The 26,810-nt window shown below is 36.9% G+C and overlaps 1 protein-coding gene across 31 annotated transcripts in view; it reads right to left on the minus strand.

The window, feature by feature from the left end:
* Positions 1–26,810, minus strand: part of SCAPER (S-phase cyclin A associated protein in the ER) — a 557,437-nt gene that overhangs the window by 360,033 nt on the left and 170,594 nt on the right. For 29 of the 31 annotated variants that reach the window (NR_148227.2, XR_007064448.1, XM_017022273.2 and 26 more), the window contains 2 exons: positions 25,293–25,448; positions 20,659–20,801 (listed from right to left, as the gene is read on the minus strand). Coding sequence is in view for 29 of the 31 variants with exons in the window: in XM_017022273.2 (XP_016877762.1) it covers positions 20,659–20,801; positions 25,293–25,448 (299 nt within the window). In the remaining 2 variants the exon portion in view is untranslated. Of the gene's footprint in view, positions 1–20,658; positions 20,802–23,254; positions 24,307–25,292; positions 25,449–26,810 lie in introns of those variants that run through there. The other 2 variants (XM_047432633.1, XM_047432634.1) reach the window with 2 other exon arrangements.

Below are 26,810 nucleotides of genomic sequence, written 5' to 3' on the forward strand. Positions count from 1 at the left end.
AAGAAATTTGTGATATCCCCAAATATTTGGAAACTAAGTAACATGCTTCTAAATAGCCCATGAATCAAATAAGAACTATTACAAAATATAGTTGTCGCTCAGTATCCAAGGGGGATTGGTTCTAGGACACCCCCCCACCATACCAAAATCTGAGGATGTTCAAATCCCTTATAAAAAAATGGCATAGTATTTGCACAAAAGCTATGAACATTCTCCCATATATTTTAAATCATCCCTAGATTACTTATAATACCTAATACAATATGAATGTTATACAAGTAGTTGTTATACTGTACTTTTGGTATTTGTATTATTCTTATCACTGTTTTGGGGTTGTCTTCCCGAATATTTTTGACCCATGGTTGACTGAATCTGCAGATGTGGAACCTCTGGATAGAAAGAGCCAAATGTATTTTGAATGGAAATAAAAATACAGTATATCAAAATTGATGAGAGGTGCTTAAAGATATGCTAAGAAAAAAAGTATACCTTTAAATATTTATATTAGAAATGCAGGGAGGGTGGGGCAGGAAAAAAAAAGAAAAAACAAAAAAGAAAAAAGATTAAATACATACATAAATGTAAAAATAGTTTCAAATCAATCAACTAAGCTTCAACCTCATAAAGAAAAGAAGGCAAAGCTAATCAAACCCAAAGTAAGCAGAAGGAAATAAATGATAAACATCAAAGCAAAAGTCAATGAAGCAAAAACCAGAAACACAACATAGAAATGCAATGAAACCAAAGGTTAGTTCTTTGGAAAGAGCGACAAAATACATAAACCTTTAGCTAGACTAATAAGAAAGAAAATTGACATAAATTTCCAAAATTAAGAATGAAAAGAGGAGGCTGGGCACGATGACTCACACCTGTAATCCCAGCACTTTGGGAGGCCAAGGCAGGCAGATCACTTGAGGTCAGGAGTTCAAGACCAGCCTGGCCAACATGGTGGAACCCTGTCTCTACTAAAAATACAAAAATCAGCCAGGAGTGGTGACACATGCCTATCATCCCAGCTACTTGGCAGGCCAAGGCATGAGAATCTCTTGAACCTGGTAGGGGGAGATTATGGTGAGCTGAGAGCGCACCACTGCACTCCAGCCTGGGCAACAGAAAAGAAAAGAAAAAAGAGTGAAGGAGAGATATCACTATAAATCATGCTCAAAATACTTATAAAACAATTACAAACAACTTTATTTTATTTATTTATTTATGAGATGGAGTCTTGCTCTGTTGCCAGGCTGGAATGCAGTAGCGCAATCTCGACTCACTGCAACCTCCACCTCCAGGGTTCAAGCGATTCTCCTGCCTCAGCCTCCCAAGTAGCTGGGACTACAGGCACGTGCCACCATGCACGCCCAGCTAATTTTTGCATTTTTAGTAGAGATGGGGTTTCACCATGTTGGCCAGGATGGTCTCCATCTCTTGACCTCATGATCCACACGCCTTGGCCTCCCAAAGTGCTGGGATTACAGACATGAGCCACCGCACTCTGCCAAGAACTTTATAACAAGTAGATCACTTAAGACGAAAAAGACAAATTCCTAGGAAGACATTAATTATCAAAGCTGACTCCAGAAGATGTGAAAAATCTCAATAGACCAAAAACAAGGGGAAAAAAACTTAACTGGTAATTTGAAATATTCCCCCAAAGAAAAACCCAAGCCTGATGGCTTTACTGGTAAATTCCCCCAAACATTTAGAAAGAAATAATACCTATCTTATGCAAATGATTTCTCAAATAGAGCAGGAAACATTCTGTAAGGCCAGAATTGCCATAACACAAAAGCCAGACAAAAACATCACAAGAAAACTACAGATAAATACCCCTCATGAACATGCCCTTGGCAAGAAGCCACCAACAAATAAAAACTATTGTATATCATGACAAAGTGGGAATTAACCCAAGAATGCAAGGTTATCTTAATATCCAAAAATTAATGTAACATACCATATTAATAAAGAGTAAAACCCACAGTCATCTTAATGGACCCACAAAAAGATGGATTTCACCAAATTCAAAGTCCATTCATGTTAAAGGCTCTCAACAAACTAGAAACAGAAAGAAACTTCCTCAATCTATGAAGAGACTTTATCAAAAATCTACAGCAAGTATCACACATAGTAGTGAAAGATCGAACGCTTTCCCACTAAGATTGAGAACAAAACAAGGACACCCAACATCACAACTTCCATTGAACATTACATAGAAGGAGCAATCCAGTGCAAGAGGGCAAAAAGAAAACAAAGAAATTAAAGGCATCCACATTAGAAATAAAGAAGTAAAACAAACTTTATTCACAGATGCCATAAGCCTTTATGTATAAAAAGTACTAAAGAACCAAAATAATAATAATAAAAAACCTATCCAAACTAATACAGACAGTCCCCAACTTATAATCGTTCAACTTATGGCTTTTTGAGTTTATGATGAGTTTATAAGGACTTAACTCCATCATAAGTTGAGGAACATCTGTAAGAAAGTTTAACAAGGTCATTAAAAACAGAGTTGTAGAATGAAATAAATTAAAATCTACTGTATTTCTACATACTAGCAAGAAAAATCCAAAAATGAACCAAAGAAAACAATTCCATTTACAGCAGCTTTAAAGAGTACTTAGAAATAAATTTTAAAAAGAACTGCAAGACCTATACGCAAAAAACTACAAAACCTTGTTGTCAGAAATTAAAGGAGATCTAAACAGAGAGAAACATCATATTCATGGATTGTAATATAAAATATTGTAAAGATGTCAATCTCCCTAAACTGACCTATAGATTCAATGCACTTCCTATCAGAATCCTGCAGAAACTGATAAGCTGAACCTAAAATTTATATGGAAAGGCAACTTTGAAAAAGAACAAAGAAGTTGGAGTATTTATACTAATTTCAAAATATGCTATAAAACTACAGTAATTAAAACTGTAGTACTGTCACAAGAACAGACATATAGATATCAATATAACAGAATGGAGTCTAGAATATATCATTGCATCAATGATCAATTGATCTTTAACAGATGGTAAGGCAGTTCAGTGGGGAAAGGATAACCTTTTCAATAAACAATGTTATAACTAGATATCTATATGCAAACAAATAAATTTACAAAAGTTAAAAAGAATTACAGAACTAAATGCTAAGTGCTAACTGAAACATTTCTTGAAGTAAACACAGAAGAAACTTTTTGTGGTTTCTTTTTGTGTTAGGCAACAATTTCTTAGATATGAAAACCATTGTATATAAAATGAAAATTTGATATACTGGACATCATCAAAATTAAAAACTCACATTCTTCAAAGACACTATTTAAAATCTGAAAAGATAAGCCATAGATTGTAAGTCATACACTTCACAAAGAATGTATATCCAGAACATATAAAGAATTCTTACAACTCATTAACAAAATGACCCAAATGAAAAATGAGCACAAGCTTTGACATTTCACCAGAGAAGACATATGAACAGCTAATAAGCACACTGACAACATGTTCAACAGCACCAGTCATTAGAGAAATGAAAATTAAAATAATGAAATACGACCACACACCAACAAGAAAGAACTTGTATATTTAAAAAACTGATCCACCAAATGGTGTCAAGGGTTGTGAAGGAACTGAAACTCTCATGTGCTGCTGATGGCTATGTAAAATGAACAAACACTATGAAAAAATAGTTTTTAATGATTGCCATTCTAACTGGTGTGAGATGGTATCTCATTGTGGTTTTGATTTGCATTTCTTTGATGGCCAGTGATGATGAGCACTTTTTCATGTGGTTTTTGGCCGCATAAATGTCTTCTTTTGAGAAGTGTCTGTTCATATCCTCCCCCCATTTTTTGATGGGGTTGTTTGTTTTTTTCCTGTAAATTTGTTTGAGTTCATTGTAGATTCTGGATATTAGCCCTTTGTCAGATGAGTAGGTTGCAAAAATTTTCTCCCATTCTGTAGGTTGCCTGTTCACTCTGATGGCAGTTTCTTTTGCTGTGCAGAAGGTCTTTAGTTTAATTAGATCCCATTTGTCAATTTTGGCTTTTGTTGCCATTGCTTTTGGTGTTTTAGACATGAAGTCCTTGCCCATGCCTATGTCCTGAATGGTAATGCCTAGGTTTTCTTCTAGGGTTTTTATGGTTTTAGGTCTGATATTTAAGTCCTTAATCCATCTTGAATTAATTTTTGTATAAGGTGTAAGGAAGGGATCCAGTTTCAGCTTTCTACATATGGCTAGACAGTTTTCCCAGCACCTTTTATTAAATAGGGAATCCTTTCCCCATTGCTTCTTTTTCTCAGGTTTGTCAAAGATCAGGTAGTTGTAGATATGCGGCGTTATTTATGAGGGCTCTGTTCTGTTCCATTGATCTATATCTCTGTTGTGGTACCAGTACCATGCTGTTTTGGTTATCATAGCCTTGTAGTATAGTTTGAAGTCAGGTAGTGTGATGCCTCCAGCTTTGTTCTTTTGGCTTAGGATTGACTTGGCGATGCGGGCTCTTTTTTGGTTCCATATGAACTTTAAAGTAGTTTTTTCCAATTCTGTGAAGAAAGTCATCGGTAGCTTGATGGGGATGGCACTGAATCTATAAATTACCTTGGGCAGTATGGCCATTTTCACGATATTGATTCTTCCTACCCATGAGCATGGAATGTTCTTCCATTTGTTTGTATCCTCTTTTATTTCATTGAGCAGTGGTTTGCAGTTCTCCTTGAAGAGGTCCTTCACATCCCTTGTAAGTTGGATTCCTAGGTATTTTATTCTCTTTGAAGCAATTGTGAATGGGAGTTCACTCATGATTTTGCTCTCTGTTTGTCTGTTATTGGTGTATAAGAATGCTTGTGATTTTTGTACATTGATTTTGTATCCTGAGACTTTGCTGAAGTTGCTTATCAGCTTAAGGAGATTTTGGGCTGAGACGATGGGGTTTTCTAGATATACAATCATGTCATCTGCAAACAGGGACAATTTGATTTCCTCTTTTCCTAATTGAATGCCCTTTATTTCCTTCTCCAGTCTGACTGCCCTGGCCAGAACTTCCAACACTATGTTGAATAGGAGTGGTGAGAGAGGGCATCCCTGTCTTGTGCCAGTTTTCAAAGGGAATGCTTCCAGTTTTTGCCCATTCAGTATGATATTGGCTGTGGGTTTGTCATAGATAGCTCTTATTATTTTGAGATACGTACCATCAATACAGGAAACAACAGGTGCTGGAGAGGATGTGGAGAAATAGGAACACTTTTACACTGTTGGTGGGACTGTAAACTAGTTCAACCATTGTGGAAGTCAGTGTGGCGATTCCTCAGGCATCTAGAACTAGAAATACCATTTGACCCAGCCATCCCATTACTGAGTATATACCCAAAGGACTATAAATCATGCTGCTATAAAGACACATGCACACATATGTTTATTGCGGCACTATTCACAATAGCAAAGACTTGGAACCAACCCAAATGTCCAACATTGATAGACTGGACTAAGAAAATGTGGCACATATACACCATGGAATACTATGCAGCCATAAAAAATGATGAGTTCATGTCCTTTGTAGGGACATGGATGAAATTGGAAATCATCATTCTCAGCAAACTATCGCAAGGACAAAAAACCAAACACCGCATGTTCTTACTCATAGGTGGGAAATGAACAATGAGAACACATGGACACAGGAAGGGGAACATCACACTCTGGGGACTGTTGTGGGGTGGGGGGAGAGGGGAGGGATAGCATTAGGAGATATACCTAATGCTAAATGACGAGTTAGTGGGTGCAGCACACCAGCATGGCACATGTATACATATGTAACTAACCTGCACATTGTGCACATGTACCCTAAAACTTAAAGTATAATAATAATAAAATAAATTTTAAAAAAAGTAAAGAAAAAATAGTTTTAAGTTTCCTAAAAAGTTTGATATACATCTACTCTACAACCCAGCCATTCCTCTCCTAGTTATTTACTCAAGAGAAGCAAAAGTGAATGGCCACAAAAAGACTCATATGCAAACATCCATATCAGCTTTATCTGTAATAGCCAAAAAAACTGGAGATAATCCAAATGTCTCAAAGAGGTAAAAGGACTGTAATTTGCATGACATATACACAAATACTACTCAGCAATTTTTTTTTTAAAAGAGCAAGCCACAGATACACACAACATGGAGGAATCTCAAAAAAATAGTGCAGAGTAAAAGATGACAGACAAGAGAGAAAGTAAATCAGTGGCTGTGTTGGGCTGAGGATAGAGAAAAGAGAAATGGATTACCAAGCAGCATGAAATATTTGGGCGGGGTGGTGATGGATATATTATCTTGATTGTGCAGATAGTTTCACAATGGTTACATATGTGAAAACTCATCAAATTGTACACTTTAGTAAGTGCTCAGTTATACCACAATAAAGTTGTGAAAAAAAATTTAACTGTTAATTTCAATTTCAAGCAAGGTTGTGGAGCATCTGAATACAGAAACCATTACATTACTAAACAATTTGGTGGTATCTACTTAAGTTGAATATTTGCATGCCCTGGGCCCCAGCAATTCCATTCCTAGGCATATACTAGACTACAGTGTAAAAAATGTGATTACCATTCTAGTAGTAGTAGTGGTAGTAGTAGTAGTAGTAGTAGTAGTAGTAGCAGTAGTAGTAGTAGTGATTTGGAGGGACATAAAAGGGGCTTTTGGGGAGCTGATGATGTTCTCTTTCTTGGCCAGGTAGTCACATGGGTGAGATGACAATTCATCAAGATGTACACTTAGATTTGTGTATTTTTGTTTGTTATAATTCATAAAAAATGTTTACTGTTTTTAAAAATATATGGCTTACTCCTCAGGTTAAAAACCTTGAAAATTAGTTAACCACATCCAACAATAATTTATATCGGTAAATTGCGAAAATACATCAAATTGAAGTGGAGCTTATCCCAGAAATGCAAGCCTGATTTAACATTAGAAAAATCAATCAACTAATTACCACATTAACGGATTAAAGGAGAAATTTTATAGAATTATTTCCATATTAAAAAAAACACATAAAAAGCACTTGAAAAACTCAACATCCACCCAGCAGCATGACATCCCCCAGCTGAACTGCTGCTATACCCTACCACAAACGGCCAAGCTACTACAGAGGTGTTGAATTCTAGTTGTTAGCGCACCCTCCTCTTAAACTGAACAGAAGTGGCATCCCACTCATTGGAGACCTCAGGCCTCTGGCACACAGAAACAGTTGATACCTCCCCCAGACCACATACACCCCCGCCAATACTACTGGTGAGACAGCACCTCACACTTCCAGGAGCTCTGAGCCTCTGGCACACCAAAGTAATTGCACCCCCAGCACCACAGCTGATGCAGTACCCCCACCCCGGCCCAGGGATCCAAAGGCTCTACTGACCCAAGTAGCTATGCCTTCTGGGGCTGACCAGATATGGCAACTTGCCTTCCAGGGATTCAGAAGCTCGGCTGAGCTGTGAAACCCTGTGTTCTAGGCCAAAGAGACACAGTGCCCCATCTGCCTAGAACTGGACTAGTCCCCCTACATTTCAATCTGCTGAGGTACCCTACCTCTCCAAGGAGTGGTTATTGCTGCATTGTTCCCTACCCCACAGGGCCCAAGATACAGCTGTATCTTGCCATTCCTGGCTCCTTGTTGCCACTGGACCCAGCCTCATAGAGCCTGGGCTATTATACCAAGTCAGGGTCCCAAGTGACCACCACATGCTCCTCATCACCCACAGCCTGAGCTACCATGTTACCCAGTTGGTTCTGGATCCCAAATGGCAACTGTTCACTGCTCACCAGGGACTGAGTCTCCAGAGACCCCTTCTTCCCCAGAATCATGCCAGTGCCTCACCCTGCCCCCCAAGGTCAGAAGCATGCCTACATCCCAGCCCCCTGGGCCCAAGCTGCTAGGGTATGCCCCACAGAAACAAACACTGTGTAGTGGGAGAACTGAATCCACTCATGCCTTGGAAAGTGAACCTGTGCCTGAAGTCCCAGGTGCTACAGTAGTTTCACAAGACCCTAAGCCCAGAAACTTGGCTCCACAGCTGCTCTGAGCTCCTGTGCCCTAAAACCCAGTGCTGCTGTGGCTGCCTGTGAACAATGTCAGACCTGATACCAAAAGAGATCCCCTCAATGAAGATTCCCTACTTTGGGGAAGACAAGAACAGGAAGACCCCTACAACCTTTGCCCTAATAACCTCAGCAGCCAACATCACTGACACAGACTCCTACAGCCCAGACCACTAAGGCACTCACAGTCTTCACTGACACTGATCACAACTAAGAAGCTGCATGATAACTACACCATTGCACCCACACAGAAGCAGAGCCACTGTGTCCTACACCCAAGCGGTACCCTCAGGCCCATCTTCAAGTGAAAGTCATCCCCTTCCCACTCTGTAAAGTTGGAAAGATATGACTGCACTATCAGATGTACAAACATCATGGCAGGGTCACAAGAAACATGAAAAAGCAAGGAAATATGAAACCACTAAAAGGAACACAATAACTCTCCAGTAACTGACCCCAAAGAAACAGAAATCTACAAATTTTCTAAAAAGGAATTCAAAATAATGAACAAAGGAAACTCAGTGAAACATAAGAGAATAAAAACAGACCATTCAATGAAATTAGAAAAATAAATCATGATCTGAATGAGAAATTCAATAAAGGAGATATCATTTAAAAAATCTCAATAAAAATCTTAAGAGCTGAAGAATTCAATGAAATAAAAAATACCACAGAGGGTTCAACAGCAGACTAGATCAAGCAGAAGAAAGAACCTTGAAGGTTTCTGAAATGACTCAGAAGAGAAGAAAAAGAAAAAAGAATGAAGAGAGCCTATGGGACACCACTAAGCAAACAAATATTCACATTGTAGGAATCCCAAAGGGGGAAGAAACAGAAAAGGTTTATATAAATAAAATAATTGGTAAAAACTTCCTAAATCTTGGGACTTAGGAAGAGAGAGAGATCTACATACAAGTCAATGAAGCTCAAAGATCTCAGATAAACTTTAGAAGGTTCTCTCCAAGGTACACTATAATCAAACTGGCAAAAGTGAAAAGACAATGAAATAGTTTTAAAAACAGCAAGAGAAAACTGTCTAGTCACATATAAGGGGATGTCCATCAGAGTATCATTGGACTTTTCTGCAGAAACCTTACAAGCCTGGAGAATGGGATGACATATTCAAAATGATGAAAGGGAAAAAAAAAAAAAAAAAACCTGCCGGCTAAGAATACTATACCAAGGAAAACTATCCTTCAGAAATGAAGGAGAAATAAAGTCTTCCCCAGACAAATAAAAGTTGAAGGAATTCACTGACACTAGACCTGTGTTACATGAAATGCTTCTTCGAGGAGAAAGAAAATTATAATAATTACCACCATGGATACACATAAAGTATAAGACTCACTGGTAGAGATAAATACTTAGTCAAATCAGAATACTTCGAAACTGTAAGTGTGGTATGTAAACCACACGTATCTCTATTATGAAGGCTAAAGTCAAAATAGTCAAAAACAACAAAAGTTACAATAAGTTTTTAAGGAATACATAATATAAAAAGATGAATATTTTGACATCAAAAACGTAACTTGTGGGATGGACAGTAAAAGTCTAGTTTTTGTATGTGCCAGAAATTGTTATCAACTTAAAACAGCTGATAACAACTTAACAGTTGTTAAGTGTAACAGTATAAGATGTTTGGATAAGCTCATAGTAACCACAAAACAAAAAACTATAGCAAATATACAAATAATAAAGAGATCATTATTTAATGATAAAGGGGTCAGTTCATCAATGGGATGTAACAATTGTAAATATATATGCACCTAACATTGGAGCACTAAAACTATAAAGCAAATATTAATGGACATGAAGGGAGAAATAGATAGCAATATAATAATATAAGGGACTTCAATACCCCACTGTCAACAATAGATAAACTAGAGAGAAAATAAATACTAGACTTAATTGTACTTTGACCAAATGGACCTAATATACATAGGCAGAACATCCCATCAAAAGCAATACATTTTTTTCTAGTCCACATGGATCATTATCCAGGATAGGCCATATGTTAAACCACAAAACAAGTCGTCTTAACAAATTTAAGAAGATTCAAATTGTACCTATTGTTGTTTCAGATCACTATGATATAAAACTAGAAATCAATAAAATGAATCCTGAAAATTTCATAAATAAATGGCAATTAAATAACATGCTCCAAAATAAGTCATGAGTTAAAGAAGAAATCAAAAAGGAAATTAAAAAATATCTTGGGACAAACAACAATAGAAACGCAACACAGCAAAATCTATGGGTTGCAGCAAAAGCAGTTGTAAGAGGGAAGTTTATAGTTTCTGCATAGCAAAGAAAAAAATCAATAAAACATCAGCCTAAGGAATGGGGCAAAATATTTAGTCCATATATCTAATAGAGAGTTAATATCCAAAATATAAAGAACTAGGCTAGCCACGGTGGCTCATGCCTGTAATCCCAGCACTTTGGGAGGCAAAAGCGGGCGGATCACTTGAGGTCAGGAGTTCGAAAATCAGCCACGCATGGTGGCACACACCTATAATCCCAGCTACTCGGGTGGCTGAAGCACAAGAATCACTTGAACCTGGGAAGTGGAGGCTGCAGTGAGCCAAAATCATGCCACTTCACTCCAGCCTGGACAAGAGAACAAGATTCTGTCTCAAAAAGGAAAAAAAAAACAAAAACAAAAAACAAGAAAAATATATATATTTAAAAAAACCTCATACAACTCAATAGTAGAAAAACAAACTGATTTTAAAATGGGTAAAGAATCGCCATAGACATTTCTCCAAAGAAGTCATAGTCAGTAGATATATGGAAAGGTGATGTACACCATTAATCATCAGAGAAATGAACATTAAAACCATTATGAAATACTAACTCACACCCATTAGATGACTATTATCAAAAGGTCAAAAAACAAATGTTGGTGAGGGTATGGAGAAAAGGGAACTCTTTTACACTGTTGTTGAGAGTGTGGCTTGGTACAGCCATCTGGAAAACAGGATGGAGGTTTCTAAAGAAATTTAAAATAGAACTACCATAGGACCCAGCTGATCCCTCTTCTGGCAATATACCCAAAGGAAATGGAATCACCACCTCATAAAGATATTTGCACTTCCATGTTTCCTATGGCATTATTCATAATAGCCAAGATATGAAAGGAAACTAAGTGTCCATCAAAGAAACAATGATAAAGAAACTGTAGTATACATACCATTTAGCCCTAAAAGGAACAAGACATTGTCATTTGCCACAATATGGATGAGCCTAGAGAACAATATCCTAAGTAAAATGAGCCACACATGGAAAGAAAAATATTGCATGATCTCACTTATATGTGAAATCTTAAAAAAAATTCAATTATACAGAGATAGAAAACAAGGTATTAGTTATCACGGGTGTGCATAAGAGGGAGAGGGCAGAAAAGAGGAGACGTAGATCAGAGGATACAAAACTGCAGATATGTAAGATGAACAAGTCTAGAGATCTAATGTACAACAGGAGGGCTATAGGTAATAAAATTGTACAGTACTGGGATTTGTGATAAATGAGATTTTAGTTGCCCTTGCCACTAAAACAAATAAAATGGGTAACTATGTGAGAAGATAGATATGTTAGTTCGCTTCACTATAGTAAACCTTTTACTATCTATATGTACACTACAACATTATGATGTATACCTTAAATAAACAACAAATAAAAACTATTTTTTAAAAAACCTAAGGCAGATATCTTTAATAGTTAATTGTGGAACCCATTCCTTATAAATAAGATGCCCACTAACGAAACAAAAGGCATAAAGATGAGGAAAAAAATCCCAACTATATATTGGTAGATTATATGTTTATTTACGTAGAAAACGCTAAAAAAAATCTAAGATTAATTATTAGAATGCTTAACAGAATTTATTGTGGTTGCTGAAACAAAATAAATGGTATTTCTTTTTTTTTTTAATTATTATTACACTTTAAGTTTTAGGGTACATGTGCACAACGTGCAGGTTTGTTACATATGTATACATGTGCCATGTTGGTGTGCTGCACCCATTAACTCATCATTTAGCATTAGGTATATCTCCTAATGCTATACTTCCCCCCTCCCCCCACCCCACAACAGTCCCCAGTGTGTGATGTTCCCCTTCCTGTGTCCATGCGTTCTCATTATTCAATTCCCACCTATGAGTGAGAACATGTGGTGTTCGGTTTTTTGTCCTTGCGATAGTTTGCTGAGAATGATGGTTTACAGCTTCATTCTGTCCCTACAAAGGACATGAACTCATCATTTTTTATGGCTGCATAGTATTCCATGGTGTATATGTGCCACATTTTCTTAATCCAGTCTATCATTGTTGGACATTTGGGTTGGTTCCAAGTCTTTGCTATTGTGGATAGTGCCACAATAAACATACATGTGAATGTGTCTTTATAGCAGCATGATTTATAATCCTTTGGGTATATACCCAGTAATGGGACGACTGGGTCAAATGGTATTTCTAGTTCTAGATCCCTGAGGAATCACCACACTGACTTCCACAATGGTTGAACTAGTTTACAGTCCCACCAACAGTGTAAAAGTGTTCCTATTTCTCCACATCCTCTCCAGCACCTGCTGTTTCCTGACTTTTTAATGATCGCCATTCTAACTGGTGTGAGATGGTATCTCATTGTGGTTTTGATTTGCATTTCTCTGATGGAGAGTGATGATGAGCACTTTTTCATGTGGTTCTTGGCTGCATAAATGTCTTCTTTTGAGAAGTGTCTGTTCATATCCTTTGCCCACTTTTTGATGGGGTTGTTTTTTTCCTGTAAATTTGTTTGAGTTCATTGTAGATTCTGGATATTAGCCCTTTGTCAGATGAGTAGGTTGCAAAAATTTTCTCCCATTCTGTAGGTTGCCTGTTCACTCTGATGGTGGTTTCTTTTGCTGTGCAGAAGGTCTTTAGTTTAATTAGATCCCATTTGTCAATTTTGGCTTTTGTTGCCATTGCTTTTGGTGTTTTAGACATGAAGTCCTTGCCCATGCCTATGTCCTGAATGGTAATGCCTAGGTTTTCTTCTAGGGTTTTTATGGTTTTAGGTCTAACCTTTAAGTCTTTAATCCATCTTGAATTAATTTTTGTATAAGGTGTAAGGAAGGGATCCAGTTTCAGCTTTCTACATATGGCTAGCCAGTTTGCCCAGCACCTTTTATTAAATAGGGAATCCTTTCCCCATTGCTTCTTTTTCTCAGGTTTGTCAAAGATCAGGTAGTTGTAGATATGCGGCATTATTTCTGAGGGCTCTGTTCTGTTCCATTGGTCTATAACTCTGTTTTGGTACCAGTACCATGCTGTTTTGGTTACTGTAGCCTTGTAGTATAGTTTGAAGTCAGGTAGTGTGATGCCTCCAGCTTTGTTCTTTTGGCTTAGGATTGACTTGGCGATGCGGGCTCTTTTTTGGTTCCATATGAACTTTAAAGTAGTTTTTTCCAATTCTGTGAAGAAAGTCATTGGCAGCTTGATGGGGATGGCATTGAATCTATAAATTACCTTGGGCAGTATGGCCATTTTCACGATATTGATTCTTCCTACCCATGAGCATGGAATGTTCTTCCATTTGTTTGTGTCCTCTTTTATTTCATTGAGCAGTGGTTTGTAGTTCTCCTTGAAGAGGTCCTTCACGTCCCTTGTAAGGTGGATTCCTAGGTATTTTATTCTCTTTGAAGCAATTGTGAATGGGAGTTCACTCATGATTTGGCTCTCTGTTTGTCTGTTATTGGTGTATAAGAATGCTTGTGATTTTTGTACACTGATTTTGTATCCTGAGACTTTGCTGAAGTTGCTTATCAGCTTAAGGAGATTTTGGGCTGAGACGATGGGGTTTTCTAGATATACAATCATGTCATCGGCAAACAGGGACAATTTGACTTCCCCTTTTCCTAATTGAATGCCCTTTATTTCCTTCTCCTGTCTGACTGCCCTGGCCAGAACTTCCAACACTATGTTGAATAGGAGTGGTGAGAGAGGGCATCCCTGTCTTGTGCCAGTTTTCAAAGGGAATGCTTCCGGTTTTTGTCCATTCACTATGATTTTGGCTGTGGGTTTTCAATAGATAGCTCTTATTATTTTGAGATTTGTCCCATCAATACCTAATTTATTGAGAATTTTTAGCATGAAGGGTTGTTGAATTTTGTCAAAGGCCTTTTCTGCATCTATTGAGATAATCATGTGGTTTTTGTCTTTGGTTCTGTTTATATGCTGGATTACGTTTATTGATTTGCGTATGTTGAACCAGCCTTGCATCCCAGGGATGAAGCCCACTTGATCATGGTGGATAAGCTTTTCGATGTGTTGCTGGATTCGGTTTGCCAGTATTTTATTGAGGATTTTTGCATCAATGTTCATCAAGGATATTGGTCTAAAATTCTCTTTTTTGGTTGTGTCTCTCCTAGGCTTTGGTATCAGGATGATGCTGGCCTCATAAAATGAGTTAGAGAGGATTCCCTCTTTTTCTATTGATTGCAATAGTTTCAGAAGGAATGGTACCAGCTCCTCCTTGTACCTCTGGTAGAATTCGGCTGTGAATCCGTCTGGTCCTGGACTTTCTTTGGTTGGTAAGCTATTAATTATTGCCTCAATTTCAGAGCCTGTTATTGGTCTATTCAGAGATTCAACTTCTTCCTGGTTAAGTCTTGGGAGGGTGTATGTGTCAAGGAATTTATCCATTTCTTCTAGATTTTCTAGTTTATTTGCATAGAGGTGTTTATAGTATTCTCTGATGGTAGTTTGTATTTCTGTGGGATCGGTGGTGATATCTCCTTTGTCATTTTTTATTATGCCTATTTGATTCTTCTCTCTTTTCTTCTTTATTAGTCTTGCTAGCAGTCTATCGATTTTGCTGATCTTTTAAAAAAACAGGCTCCTGGATTCATTGATTTTTTGAAGGGTTTTTTTGTGTCTCTATTTCCTTCAGTTCTGCTCTGATCTTAGTTATTTCTTGCCTTCTGCTAGCTTTTGAATGTGTTTGCTCTTGCTTCTCTGGTTCTTTTAATTGTGATGTTAGGGTGTCAATTTTAGATCTTTCCTGCTTTCTCTTGTGGGTATTTAGGGCTATAAATTTCCCTCTACACACTGCTTTGAATGTGTCCCAGAGATTTTGGTATGTTGTGTCTTTGTTCTCGTTGGTTTCAAAGAACATCTTTATTTCTGCCTTCATTTCATTATTTACCCAGTAGTCATTCAGGAGCCGGTTGTTCAGTTTCCATGAAGTTTAGCAGTTTTGAGTGAGTTTCTTAATCCTGAGTTCTAGTTTGATTGCACTGTGGTCTGAGAGACAGTTTGTTATAATTTCTCTTCTTTTACATTTGCTGAGGAGTGTTTTACTTCCAACTATGTGGTCAATTTTGGAATAGGTGTGGTGTGGTGTGCTGAAAAGAATGTATATTGTGTTGATTTGGGGTGGAGAGTTCTGTAGATGTCTATTAGGTCTGCTTGGTGCAGAGCTGAGTTCAATTCCTGGATATCCTTGTTAACTTTCTGTCTCATTGATCTGTCTAATGTTGACAGTGGGGTGTTAAAGTCTCCCATTATTATTGTGTGGAAGTCTAAGTCTCTTTGTAGGTCTCTAAGGACTTGCTTTATGAATCTGGGTGCTCCTGTATTGGGTGCATGTATATTTAGGATAGTTAGTTCTTGTTGAATTGATCCCTTTACCATTATGTAATGGCCTTGTCTCTTTTGATCTTTGTTGGTTTAAAGTCTGTTTTATCAGAGACTAGGATTGCAACCCCTGCCTTTTATTGTTTTCCATTTGCCTGGTAGATCTTCCTTCATCCCTTTTTTGTGAGCCTATGTGTGCCTCTGCACATGAGATGGGGTTCCTGAATACAGCACACTGATGGGTCTTGACTCTATCCAATTTGCCAGTCTGTGACTTTTAATTGGAGCATTTAGCCCATTTACATTTAAGGTTAGTATTGTTACGTGTGAATTTGATCCTGTCATTATAATGTTAGCTGGTTATTTTGCTCATTAGTTGATGCAGTTTCTTCCTAGCCTTGATGGTCTTTACAATTTGACATGTTTTTGCAGTGGGTGGTACCGGTTGTTCCTTTCCATGTTTAGTGCTTCCTTCAGGAGCTCTTTTAGGGCAGGCCTGGTAGTGACAAAATCTCTCAGTCTTTGCTTGTTTGTAAAGCAAAGACTTATTTCTCCTTCACTTATGAAGCTTAGTTTGGCTGGATATGAAATACTGGGTTGAAAATTCTTTTCTTTAAGAATGTTGAATATTGGCCCCCATTCTCTTCTGGCTTATAGAGTTTCTGCCGAGAGATCAGCTGTTAGTCTGATGGGCTTCCCTTTGTGGCTAACCCAACCTTTCTCTCTGGCTGCCCTTAACATTTTTTCCTTCATTTCAACTTCGGTGAATCTGACAATTATGTGTCTTGGAGTTGCTCTTCTCAAGGAGTATCTTTGTGGCATTCTCTGTATTTCCTGAATTTGAATGTTGGCCTGCCTTGCTGGATTGGGGAAGTTCTGCTGGATAATATCCTGCAGAGTGTTTTCCAACTTGCTTCCATTCTCCCTGTCACTTTCAGGTACACCAATGAGACGTAGATTTGGTCTTTTCACATAGTCCCATATTTCTTGGAGGCTTTGTGTGTTTCTTTTTATTCTTTTTTCTCTAAACTTCTCTTCACGCTTCATTTCATTCATTTCGTCTTCCATCACTGATACCCTTTCTTCCCGTTGATCACATTAGTTACTGAGTCTTGTGCATTTGTCACGTAGTTCTCGTGCCATGGTTTTCAGCTCTATCAGGTCCTTTAAGGACTTCTCTGCATTGGTTATTCTAGTTATCCATTCGTCTAATTTTTTTTCAAAGTTTTTAACTTCTTTGCCATTGGTTCGAACTTCCTCCTTTAGCTCAGAGTAGTCCGCTGTTCTGAAGCCTTCTTCTCTCAACGCGTCAAAGTCATTCTCCGTCCAGCTTTGTTCTGTTGCTGGTGAGGAGCTGCATTCCTCAGTTGGAAATGCAGAAATCACCCATCTTCTGCGTTGCTCACACTGGGAGCTGTAGACTGGAGCTGTTCCTATTCGGTCATCTTCTCTCCACCCCCCAATAAATGGTATTTCTAAACACCAGCAACATACAAATTTTAAAAGCACTTAAGAGATTCTATTTATAATTGTATAACAGGATAAAATAGTAACTAAAAAATATCATAAAATGTGTACAAAAAATAAAATACTTAGGAATAAACATAACAAGATGAGAAAAACAGATGCAATGAAAACTACAAAACATTGTTGAAAGGAACTGAAGACACAAATAAATGGAAAGACATCATGTTTTCATGGACTGAAAAACTCAACACTGTTAAATTAAGATGGCCATATTGGCTGCCTCATCCTTTACAAGCAGCCCACCCTGAATTCTCTCTCTTAGTGTATACATTAAAAAAAAAAAGCCATACTTCCCAAAACAATCTATAGATTGAATGCAATCCCTATCAAAATCCCAATGACTTCTTTTTTACAAAAATTAAAAAATGCACATGAATCTCAAAGGATCCTCAAGCCAAAACAATCTTGAAAAGAACAAAGAGGCTCACATATCCTGATTTCAAAACTTACTACAAAACTACAGTAATCAAAACAGTATGGACTACCATAAAAACAGACATGTATATAGTCCAATGAAACAGAACAGTGAGCCAAGAAATACAGCCATTGTATGTAAGTCAAATAATTTCAACAAAGATGACAAAACCATTCAATAGAGAAAGGACAGTCTTTTCAACAAGAAGTGATGGGAAAACTGAGTATGTGCAAAAGAATGAAGTTGAACCCTTACCTTATACGATATACAAAAATTAACTAAAACTATCCAAGATCTAAACATAAGACCTAAAAGTATAAAAATGTTACAAGAAAATCCAGGGAGAAAACTTCACAACATTGGATTTGGCTATGATTTATTGAATATGACAAAAAAAAAGTAAAGGCAACAAAAACAACAACAACAAAAATAGAGAAATTGAACTATGTCCAAATTTAAAACTTTTGTTCTTCAATAGACAATATCAACAAAATGAAAAGTCAACCTACAGAATGGGAGAAAATATCAGTAAATTCTATCTTTGATAAAGGGTTAATGTCTAGAATATATATATATATATATATATATATATATAAAAAACTCTATAACCCAACAAGAAAATAACCAGATTAAAAAATAGGCAAAGGACCTAAGTGGTAACCTGTCCCCAAAAATATAAAGAAATGGCCAATAAGCACATGAAAAGATGCTTAAGGTCACTAATCACTAGGGAAATGCAAATCAAAACCAGAATGAGATGCCACTTCACACTCTTCAATAAGGCTATTTTTAGAAAAACAAAATAACAAGCATTGGTGAGGATGTGGAACCCTTGTGCAATGCTGCTGAGAACATAAAAATGGTACAGCTGCTATGAAAAACAGTAGGGTTCTCTTCAAAAAAAAACCAATAAAATTAGTATATGATCCAACCACTTCACTCTTGGAATTAAAAAGCAGAGACTAAAACATACATTTGTAACACCCGTGTTTATAGCAGCATTATTCACAATAGTCAAAAGGTAGAAGCAACTCAAGTTGCTTCAACAAAGAAATGAATAAATAAAATGTGGTATTATACATACAATGAAATACTATTCAGTCTTAAAAAGGAAGAAAATCCTGACACATGCTACAACATGGATGAAACTTGAAGACATTAGGATAAGTCACAAAAGGACAAATACCGTATGATTCCACTTATATAAGATCCCTAAAGCAGTCACATTCATAGAAACAGAAAGTAGCATGACGATTGTCAGAGGCAAGTGGGGGTATGGAATGGAGAGAATAGGGAGTTACTACTTAGTAGATAGAACACTTCAGTCTCGGAAACTGAAAAAATTTCTGGGTACAGATGGTGGTGATAGTTTCATAAAAATATCAATGTACTCAAGGCCACTGGACTGTAAACTTAAAAATGATTAAAATGATAAATTTCATGCTATTTATATTTTTTGCCACAATAGAAAAGCATACAAAAATCCTTTATAGAAAAAAAAATTTCTACTTGGCTTGAACATGTAAGTTTGATGAAAGGATATAAAGATGTTCTGAAAGACCTAAATCAGTAGAAAAACATTTAGTAGCATGCTCATAAATTAAAATATTCAACATAAAAATATCAATCTTAACACCTGAATTTATAGATTCAATGCAATTCCAATCAAAATTTTATAGTTTATTTTTAAATATAGAACTGAGCAAGCTGATTCTAAAACTAACACAGACATGAAATAGGGCCAGGACAGTCCTAATAAAAAATAAGGTGAAGGATAGTTCCAGACACCAACAATTATTATAAAGCTTTGATAACTAAGGCAGATGACAAACAAATTCATCACTGGACCAGAACACAACAGTCCACGAGCAGACCCACACATATATAAAAACTTGGCTTATGTTAGAAAGCCTTGCAGATCAGTAGGGAAAAAATGCATTTTTCAATAAAGTATGCTAGAATAATTGGGTATCCACATGGAGAAAATGAAGTAAGACTCCTACCTCTAAATACACAATAAAACCAATTGCAGATAGATAAAGACTATAAAAGATAAAACTATAAAATTTTGAAGAATGTCTTATGACTTAGGATAGAAAAAGATTTCATAAATAAGACCAAAAGGCATAAATTATAGTTTGTTCAGTTCTACTAAACTGCAACCAAGAGTTATGCTAATCAAAAAACATCATAAAGAAAGAAAAAAGGTAAGACACAACCTATAGGTATATTTGCAATATATGTAACTAACAAAGACTTAGTATCTAGTAAAGATAATCCCTAAACATCAATAAGAAAAAAAAGACCCCAATACAGGAATGAACAAAAATTTGAATAGGCACTTTGCATAAAAAAACCCTGAACAGCTCATAAACATGTGAAAAAGTTGTTCAGCCTTATTATTAATCAGGGACAAGTAGAAAAGCAAATTAAAACCACAAAGAGCTATCTTTTCACATCTACCAACTTCGCTATAATTCAGAAGTCACAAAATATCACGTCAGTAAGGTCACACCAATAAAAGGGACTTAGGCTTGGCCAATTATATGTTTTTTCCTGTGTCTTTAAATCTTAAACAAGTGATTAAAACTAAGGGATAATTGAAGGTCATACATCATAATCAGAGTGGCAACATGCTGACCAGACTATTTCCATCAAAAAAAAAAAAAAAAAAATCCACTGCTGTGACTCTTGTGATCTAGACTTTCATGTCTGACAGAACATTTCCAAACTTGGTCCTCTAACCTTTTACTAATTATGCCCTCAGTATCTTCCCCAAAAGTCTCTTTTGCTGAAGCCATCCAGAATCAAATTATATATTTTTTGATTTGAGTGTGGTGGTACACACCTGTAGTCCAAGCTACTCAGGAGGGTGAGGTGGGAGGATCACTTGAGTCAGAGAGTTCAAGATCAACCTGGGGAACATCGCAAAACCTCATCTCAAAAAAACTCTACATGACAGTAAATGGCTTTAAGACCTCAACTTGAATATTCACTCAGTGCAAAATGTTCATCAAGATAGCAAATGAGATACCTAGCTCTTTCCCGGGCTGCATCCTCACGGGCTTTTTCCTTTTCTTGCCTCTGTTGTTCAATTCGGGCTTCTTGTTCTTTCCTCTTCATTAACAATTCTTCTACACGGGCCTGCCGCTCTGCCTCTAGAGCTCTCTTGCGTTCCTAATGTTAGAAATATTTGTTTCCAATATTAGAATTATGTGTAAAATAAAAATGATTCAAAGTAATATACCTTTCACCAAACTTACATGTTCAAGCCAAGTAGAAACATGGGCTTGCCACTAGGTACTCTGCTTCTTAAAGTTTAAACAAAAATCAAATAGCAATGATATCTGGTTTCTGAAAGTCATTTACCAGTGTTACACATAATTCAGTAAAGACTTGCTTTTTTATACAAACACTGTGTTATACTTGTTTTGTGGGAACTTGTGATGGTTAATCAGCTGCCAGCGAGGCTAGAATATAAAGCAGGCAGAAAAATATGAAAAGAGAGACTGGCCTAGCCTACCAGCCTACATCCTTCAGCCGTGCTGGATGCTTCCTGCCCTCAAACATCAGACTCCAAGTTCTTCAGTTTTGGAACTCGGACTGGCTCTCCTTACTCCTCAGCTTGTAGACACTCTGTTGTGGGACCTTGTGATTGTGTGAGTTAATACTTAATAAACTCATATATATATATGTTTTATATATATATACACACACACACATATATATACACATACACACACACACACACACACACACACACACATATACATATATATCCTATTAGTTCTGTACCTCTAGAGAACTCTGACTAATACAGAACTTAATATATGTTTTCTGATTAATCACTTCTAAAGCCTTGTGTTAATATATGGTTATAGAAACACCTGAATATGATGAAAAAACCATAGTTAATAGATTTTATTTCTGAACTAAGCTTTCATGATGGAATTAAGTAAAGACAGTTTGTGAGAAGGAGAAAGAGGTAATACAATAGAGCACAGTGGGTGTAAGAGTGGATATCGGGTCAGATTCCCTGGTTTTGTTTCCTGACCCCATTATTCACTAGCACAGTGGCTCTGGGCTACTTAGTTACATTCTCTGTGCCTTACTTTTCTAGAAGATAAATAATAATATGTATTTCTTAGGATATTATAAAGCACAGATGAGCTAATATATGAAAAGCACTTACCATAGGGCCTGGCATATATAAAATTCTAAATAATTATCATCATCATCATCATCAAGCCAGAAGATAAATCATGAAAACTGGGTAACTTCAACATGAAATATTTGTCACTAACATGTTCCTCATCTTATTGATATGTTTCTCTGAATCCATACCCATTCCCCAGATAGCACTCACAACCTCTCGGTAGCCTCTCCTCTATAATTAATGGAATACATTGATCTAGGCTCTAGTACCTACTACTTACATAACCTTGGGCAAAGTACTTCACCTTAAAGAGCCTCAGTTGATTGTGAGATGTAAATTATTAATTACAGGTAAGTTCTCAGCATAGAGTTTAGCCATAGTAAGGGCTCAGTAAAAGATAGCAGAAAAAAAATAACAAAGCAATTTCTGTTCAGGGAACACAAAAGAGAGATTTGAACATTTCTAATAGTTAACTGAGCGCACAATAGTAACTTCATCTCCACAACAAGCTCTATCTGCCCCAGGGAAAGAAAGCCTTTTAAAAATAGCCAAAAGGATCTCTATTTCTTTCTTTTTTTTTTGAGGGGGTAGGTGGTATAAGAAGAGGGTAAACTGGGAATTGGAGGGAATGCCCTTATTTGAGGAGGACATAACAGGCACACTGCAGACTGTTGGAGTCATGCAATTAGATTTTAAAATATATCCTTTACTGTCTGAGCATACTATTCATGAAATAGTTGTAGCTATTTCTCATGACTAATCAAGAATAATATGTGGAAACTTGGTTAGCCAAAAAAAATCAAAAACTCTTAAGAGTAAAAACAATCAAATCTGGCACAGAAAATTTTCTCCATTAAAAAAAAAGTGAATAAAAAAATTCCTCTTATAGTCCAATTTTTCTGAAGTTTAAAAATTCCATATTATATCTGAAAACACATGTTTCACAACAAAATACAAAGAGCTTAGGCATTAAATATAAATAATTAAAGCAGAATTTTTCATTTCATATTTTATTAATATAAGACCAAAGGCTTGAGGAATGTAATTTTTTAAATCCTAAACTGATCTTATAAAATATGTATTATGTAAAAATAATTACTGCAGGTATGTGCAATGTAGCCAAGTGTACACTTGTAAACATAATGTCAACTTGCTGACTGTTTTAATGGATATCAGACCAACTCCAACATTGTATGAAAAGAGATAACTGGACGTAAAAAGTTACTCAACCTATTAATTTCCATTTTTAATAACTTGAAAAGAGAACTGGTAGCCATACAGCTAATGAGTAAAATTCAGCTACCATTTCCCAATCTGAAATTTAAATTCCCGAAAGACAGGAAACTTTGTACCTCATAAAGCACCCTGCAAAGGGTAGGGATTTCTAAATATCTGTTTAATAAATGAAGCATGACTTTATAAAATAATATACACTATGAATCTATATAGCCACAAGGAAAGAATTAAAACTTACAGCAAAGGAATTAGAAATATAACTAATTCTTAAGCCTACAGAAGAACCTCTCAGACCCCTTCATATCTCAGCCAGGGAGGTGTTTAAGGCAGCCTAAGAAAGGATTCTGTAGCTCCTCTTTATGCCTACAATTCAAATGATTAGGACAAAAGGACAAAGCAGGATAAGTAAAAAAGAAAAAATTGAGCTTATAATTAATCAATAAAGAATATACATACCAATAACAGCAAACTGAGAATATATGATGGCAGCACTTGGTATTTTACTTACAAGAAATGAGAATCACAATTGCCTTTAATAGTCCATGAGAATGCTTCAAGAGTAAAAATAAAATGGATGGAGGGTCTCTGAAATTCTGTATTAGGTTAGGATCTTACCATTATTGTATTTACAGAATACTTGGCACTAGTGCCTGTACAGCAAGTAATGATTACACATTTTTAAAATTTTAATGTTATACATGTTATCTACCAGTGGATTTTTCTGACTATCTATCTCAGTATATCTCAAGCATATGTAGACAGGTTTAAAATCTTTCACTGAAATTAAATCCATAGGAAACTTCAGCACTTTTAAAAACAAAAATAATTCTAAAGAGCCAAAACAATTCTTAAAGTGTTGGTTGGTGGAGGAAATTCCCTACTAGTTTAGTAAACTGTTTTCCTTTAAGTTTTAATGAATGTTAAAAATTGTGAAGTGAGAGTCATCATTTTTAAACGAAAGATAACTGTTATATTTCAAATCTGCAAAATGCAGAGTAAGGAACCAAAGATGTCTATTTAAAAATATACACTACTACTCATGTACTTCACCTAGTTGAAGCTGATGATTCTATTGCTATGATTACAGTCTGCTGATGAAAGAACTGATGACCGTAACTGAAAGAGAACACACTATCTTTTAGAAAATAGACTTTATGTTTCTAGAGTGCCATATTGAACCATGCACCTTTGGGAACAAACACTAGGTTACTCCATTTGGGGTCCTCAGCAACTAGCTTTAAATCTAAAATATGTGTGGGCGGCAAGCCACCCAGGTGCCAAGGCAAGAGACCGAGGGCATGAGCTGTTCCAGTATAATAAAATATACAAAATAAGAATAGTTATACTAGATATAGATCACAGATATGATTATATATGAATATCATTAATCATTAGTTTGTAGCAATTACTCTTTATTCCAATATTATAATAATCCTTGCTCTACAATCATAACCTAGGAAAAACCAGGCCATACAGAGATAGGAGCTGAGGGGACATAGTGAGAAGTGACCAGAAGACAAGAGTGAGAGCCTTCTGTTATGCCCAGACAGGGCCACCAGAGGGCTGCTTGGTCTAGTGGTAACGCCAGCGTCTGGGAAGATGCTCATTGCCAAGCGGACCGTGGTCTAGCGGTAGCATCAGTGTCAAGGAAAAACACCCACTACTTAGCAGACCGGGAAAGGGACTCTCCCTTTCCCCCGGGGAGTTTAGAGAAGACTCTACTCCTCCACCTCTTGTGCCCGCAGTTATCCTGAGGCCTAACCGTCTCCCTGTGATGCTGTGCTTCAGTGGTCACGCTCCTAGTCCACTTTCATGTTCCATCCTGTACACTTGGCTCTGCCTTTTAGAAAGCAGTAGCAAATTAGTGAAAGTACTAAAAGTCTCTGATATGCAGAAATAATGGCGTAAGCTGTCTCTCTCTCTCCTCTCTCTCTCTGCCTCAGCTGCCAGGCAGGGAAGGGCCTCCTGTCCAGTGGACATGTGACCCACTTGACCTTACGTATCATTGGAGATGGCTCACACGCCTTACCCTGCCCGTTTGTCTTGTATCCAATAAATATCAGCACAGCCTGGCATTCAGGGCCACTACCGGTCTCCACGTCTTGGTGGTAGTGGTCCCCCCAGGCCCAGCTGTCTTTTATTTCTTTGTCTTATGTCTTTATTTCTACAATCTCCCATCTCCGCACATGGGGAGAAAAACCCACCGACCCTGCGGGGCTGGACCCTACAAATATGACAGGTGCTCAAGCAATGTTTGCTGAATAAAAAAATCCTACCTGCACAGCTTCATCACGTGCTTGCTTTTCTTCCTGTCTTCTCTGACGCTCTTCCTGTAGCTCATTAAGCCTCTGTTCATATTCCTTCAATTTTGATAAAACATCATGACGTTTATTCTGGGCTTCAAGGGTATTTATAAAGGCAATTTCATTTACCTTTAAAAAAACAAAGAAGGTAAGGTTCAGATCAAGTTAATTCTAGGGCACATTACAAAAATAAGAAATCTAACAACAGTCAGGCTGGGCGTGGTGGTTCACGCCTGTGATCCTAGCACTTTGGGAGGCTGAGGAAGGCGGATCACCTGAAGTTGGGAGTTCGAGACCAGCCTAGCCAATATGGTGAAACCCCATCTCTACTAAAAAAAAAAAAGAAAAAATAGCCAGGCGTGGTGGCAGGTGCCTGTAATCCCAGCTACTCGGGAGGCAGAGGCAGGAGAATTGCTGGAACCCAGGAGCCAGAGGTTGCAGTGAGCCAAGATCGTGCCACTGCACTCCAGCCTGGGTGACAGAACAAGACTCCATATCAAAAAAGAAAGAAAGAAAGAAAGAAATCTAACAACAGTCTTTATATAATAACATGAACCAGTGGTAAGGCATGGAACAAAAAAAAAATGAAGGAATTATTGGTCTTTTCTTTCAATATTTACCTCAAAATGGATAATAATCCAGTGTGTATAAAAAATCCACAGGCCTTAGAAAGAAGTGATTTAGAGGCCTGCCACTGAAAACATTTTTAAGTGAAGAAACAATTTTAAATTCTTATACAGACCATCTTACAAAGTTCTACTTAATAACAGTGTAATTTGCAACTATACAAATTACACAAACATTGAAATAGGTATGCTCACGTTATTCTAATGAGTTTGAAAGGACAAAATGTAAAATAAACAACAAATTACTTTTCTTCAACATATAATGAATGAGTGACAATTAGATACAAGGTACTGAACTATACATTGCATCCTTAACTTCACATATATTGATCCTTAATAGTCAAGTTTTGCTAGAAAGTACAGATATTATGAGTAAAGGATAGCTAATGATAAAGCTCAAAAATCAGGTAGGATCAACCCTCTCATTCTTGAAAGCCAGAGCGGAGGGTATGCTACAGTTAAAATGGTAGAGTGAAGTAGGGAAGTGAACACTAGAGACAACTGTCTTTGACAGCCACAGACTACAGGAATCCATGCTGGATGGAACAAAACCTACGTTAAGATATTTTATAAATCTCAGAAAAGTTTGAATACAGATCCAACTAAGCTTTCCCAATCTCCATGCCATGATACCACTTTCATAAGCACTTTAATAAGTAGATTAATCACAGAAACATCCTTCAAACTGTACTGAACGTACTCAAAATACAAGATAGGCCAGGTGTGGTGGCTACGCCTGTAATGCCAGCACTTTGGGAGGCTGAGGCGGGTGGATCACAAGGTCAGGAGTGCAAGCTAGCCTGGCCAAGATGGTGAAACCCCGTCTCTACTAAATATACAAAAATTAGCCGGATGTGGTGGCAGG

Source organism: Homo sapiens, chromosome 15 (genome assembly GCF_000001405.40).
Source record: "Homo sapiens chromosome 15, GRCh38.p14 Primary Assembly".
In the NCBI taxonomy this organism is placed as follows: Eukaryota; Metazoa; Chordata; class Mammalia; order Primates; family Hominidae; genus Homo; species Homo sapiens.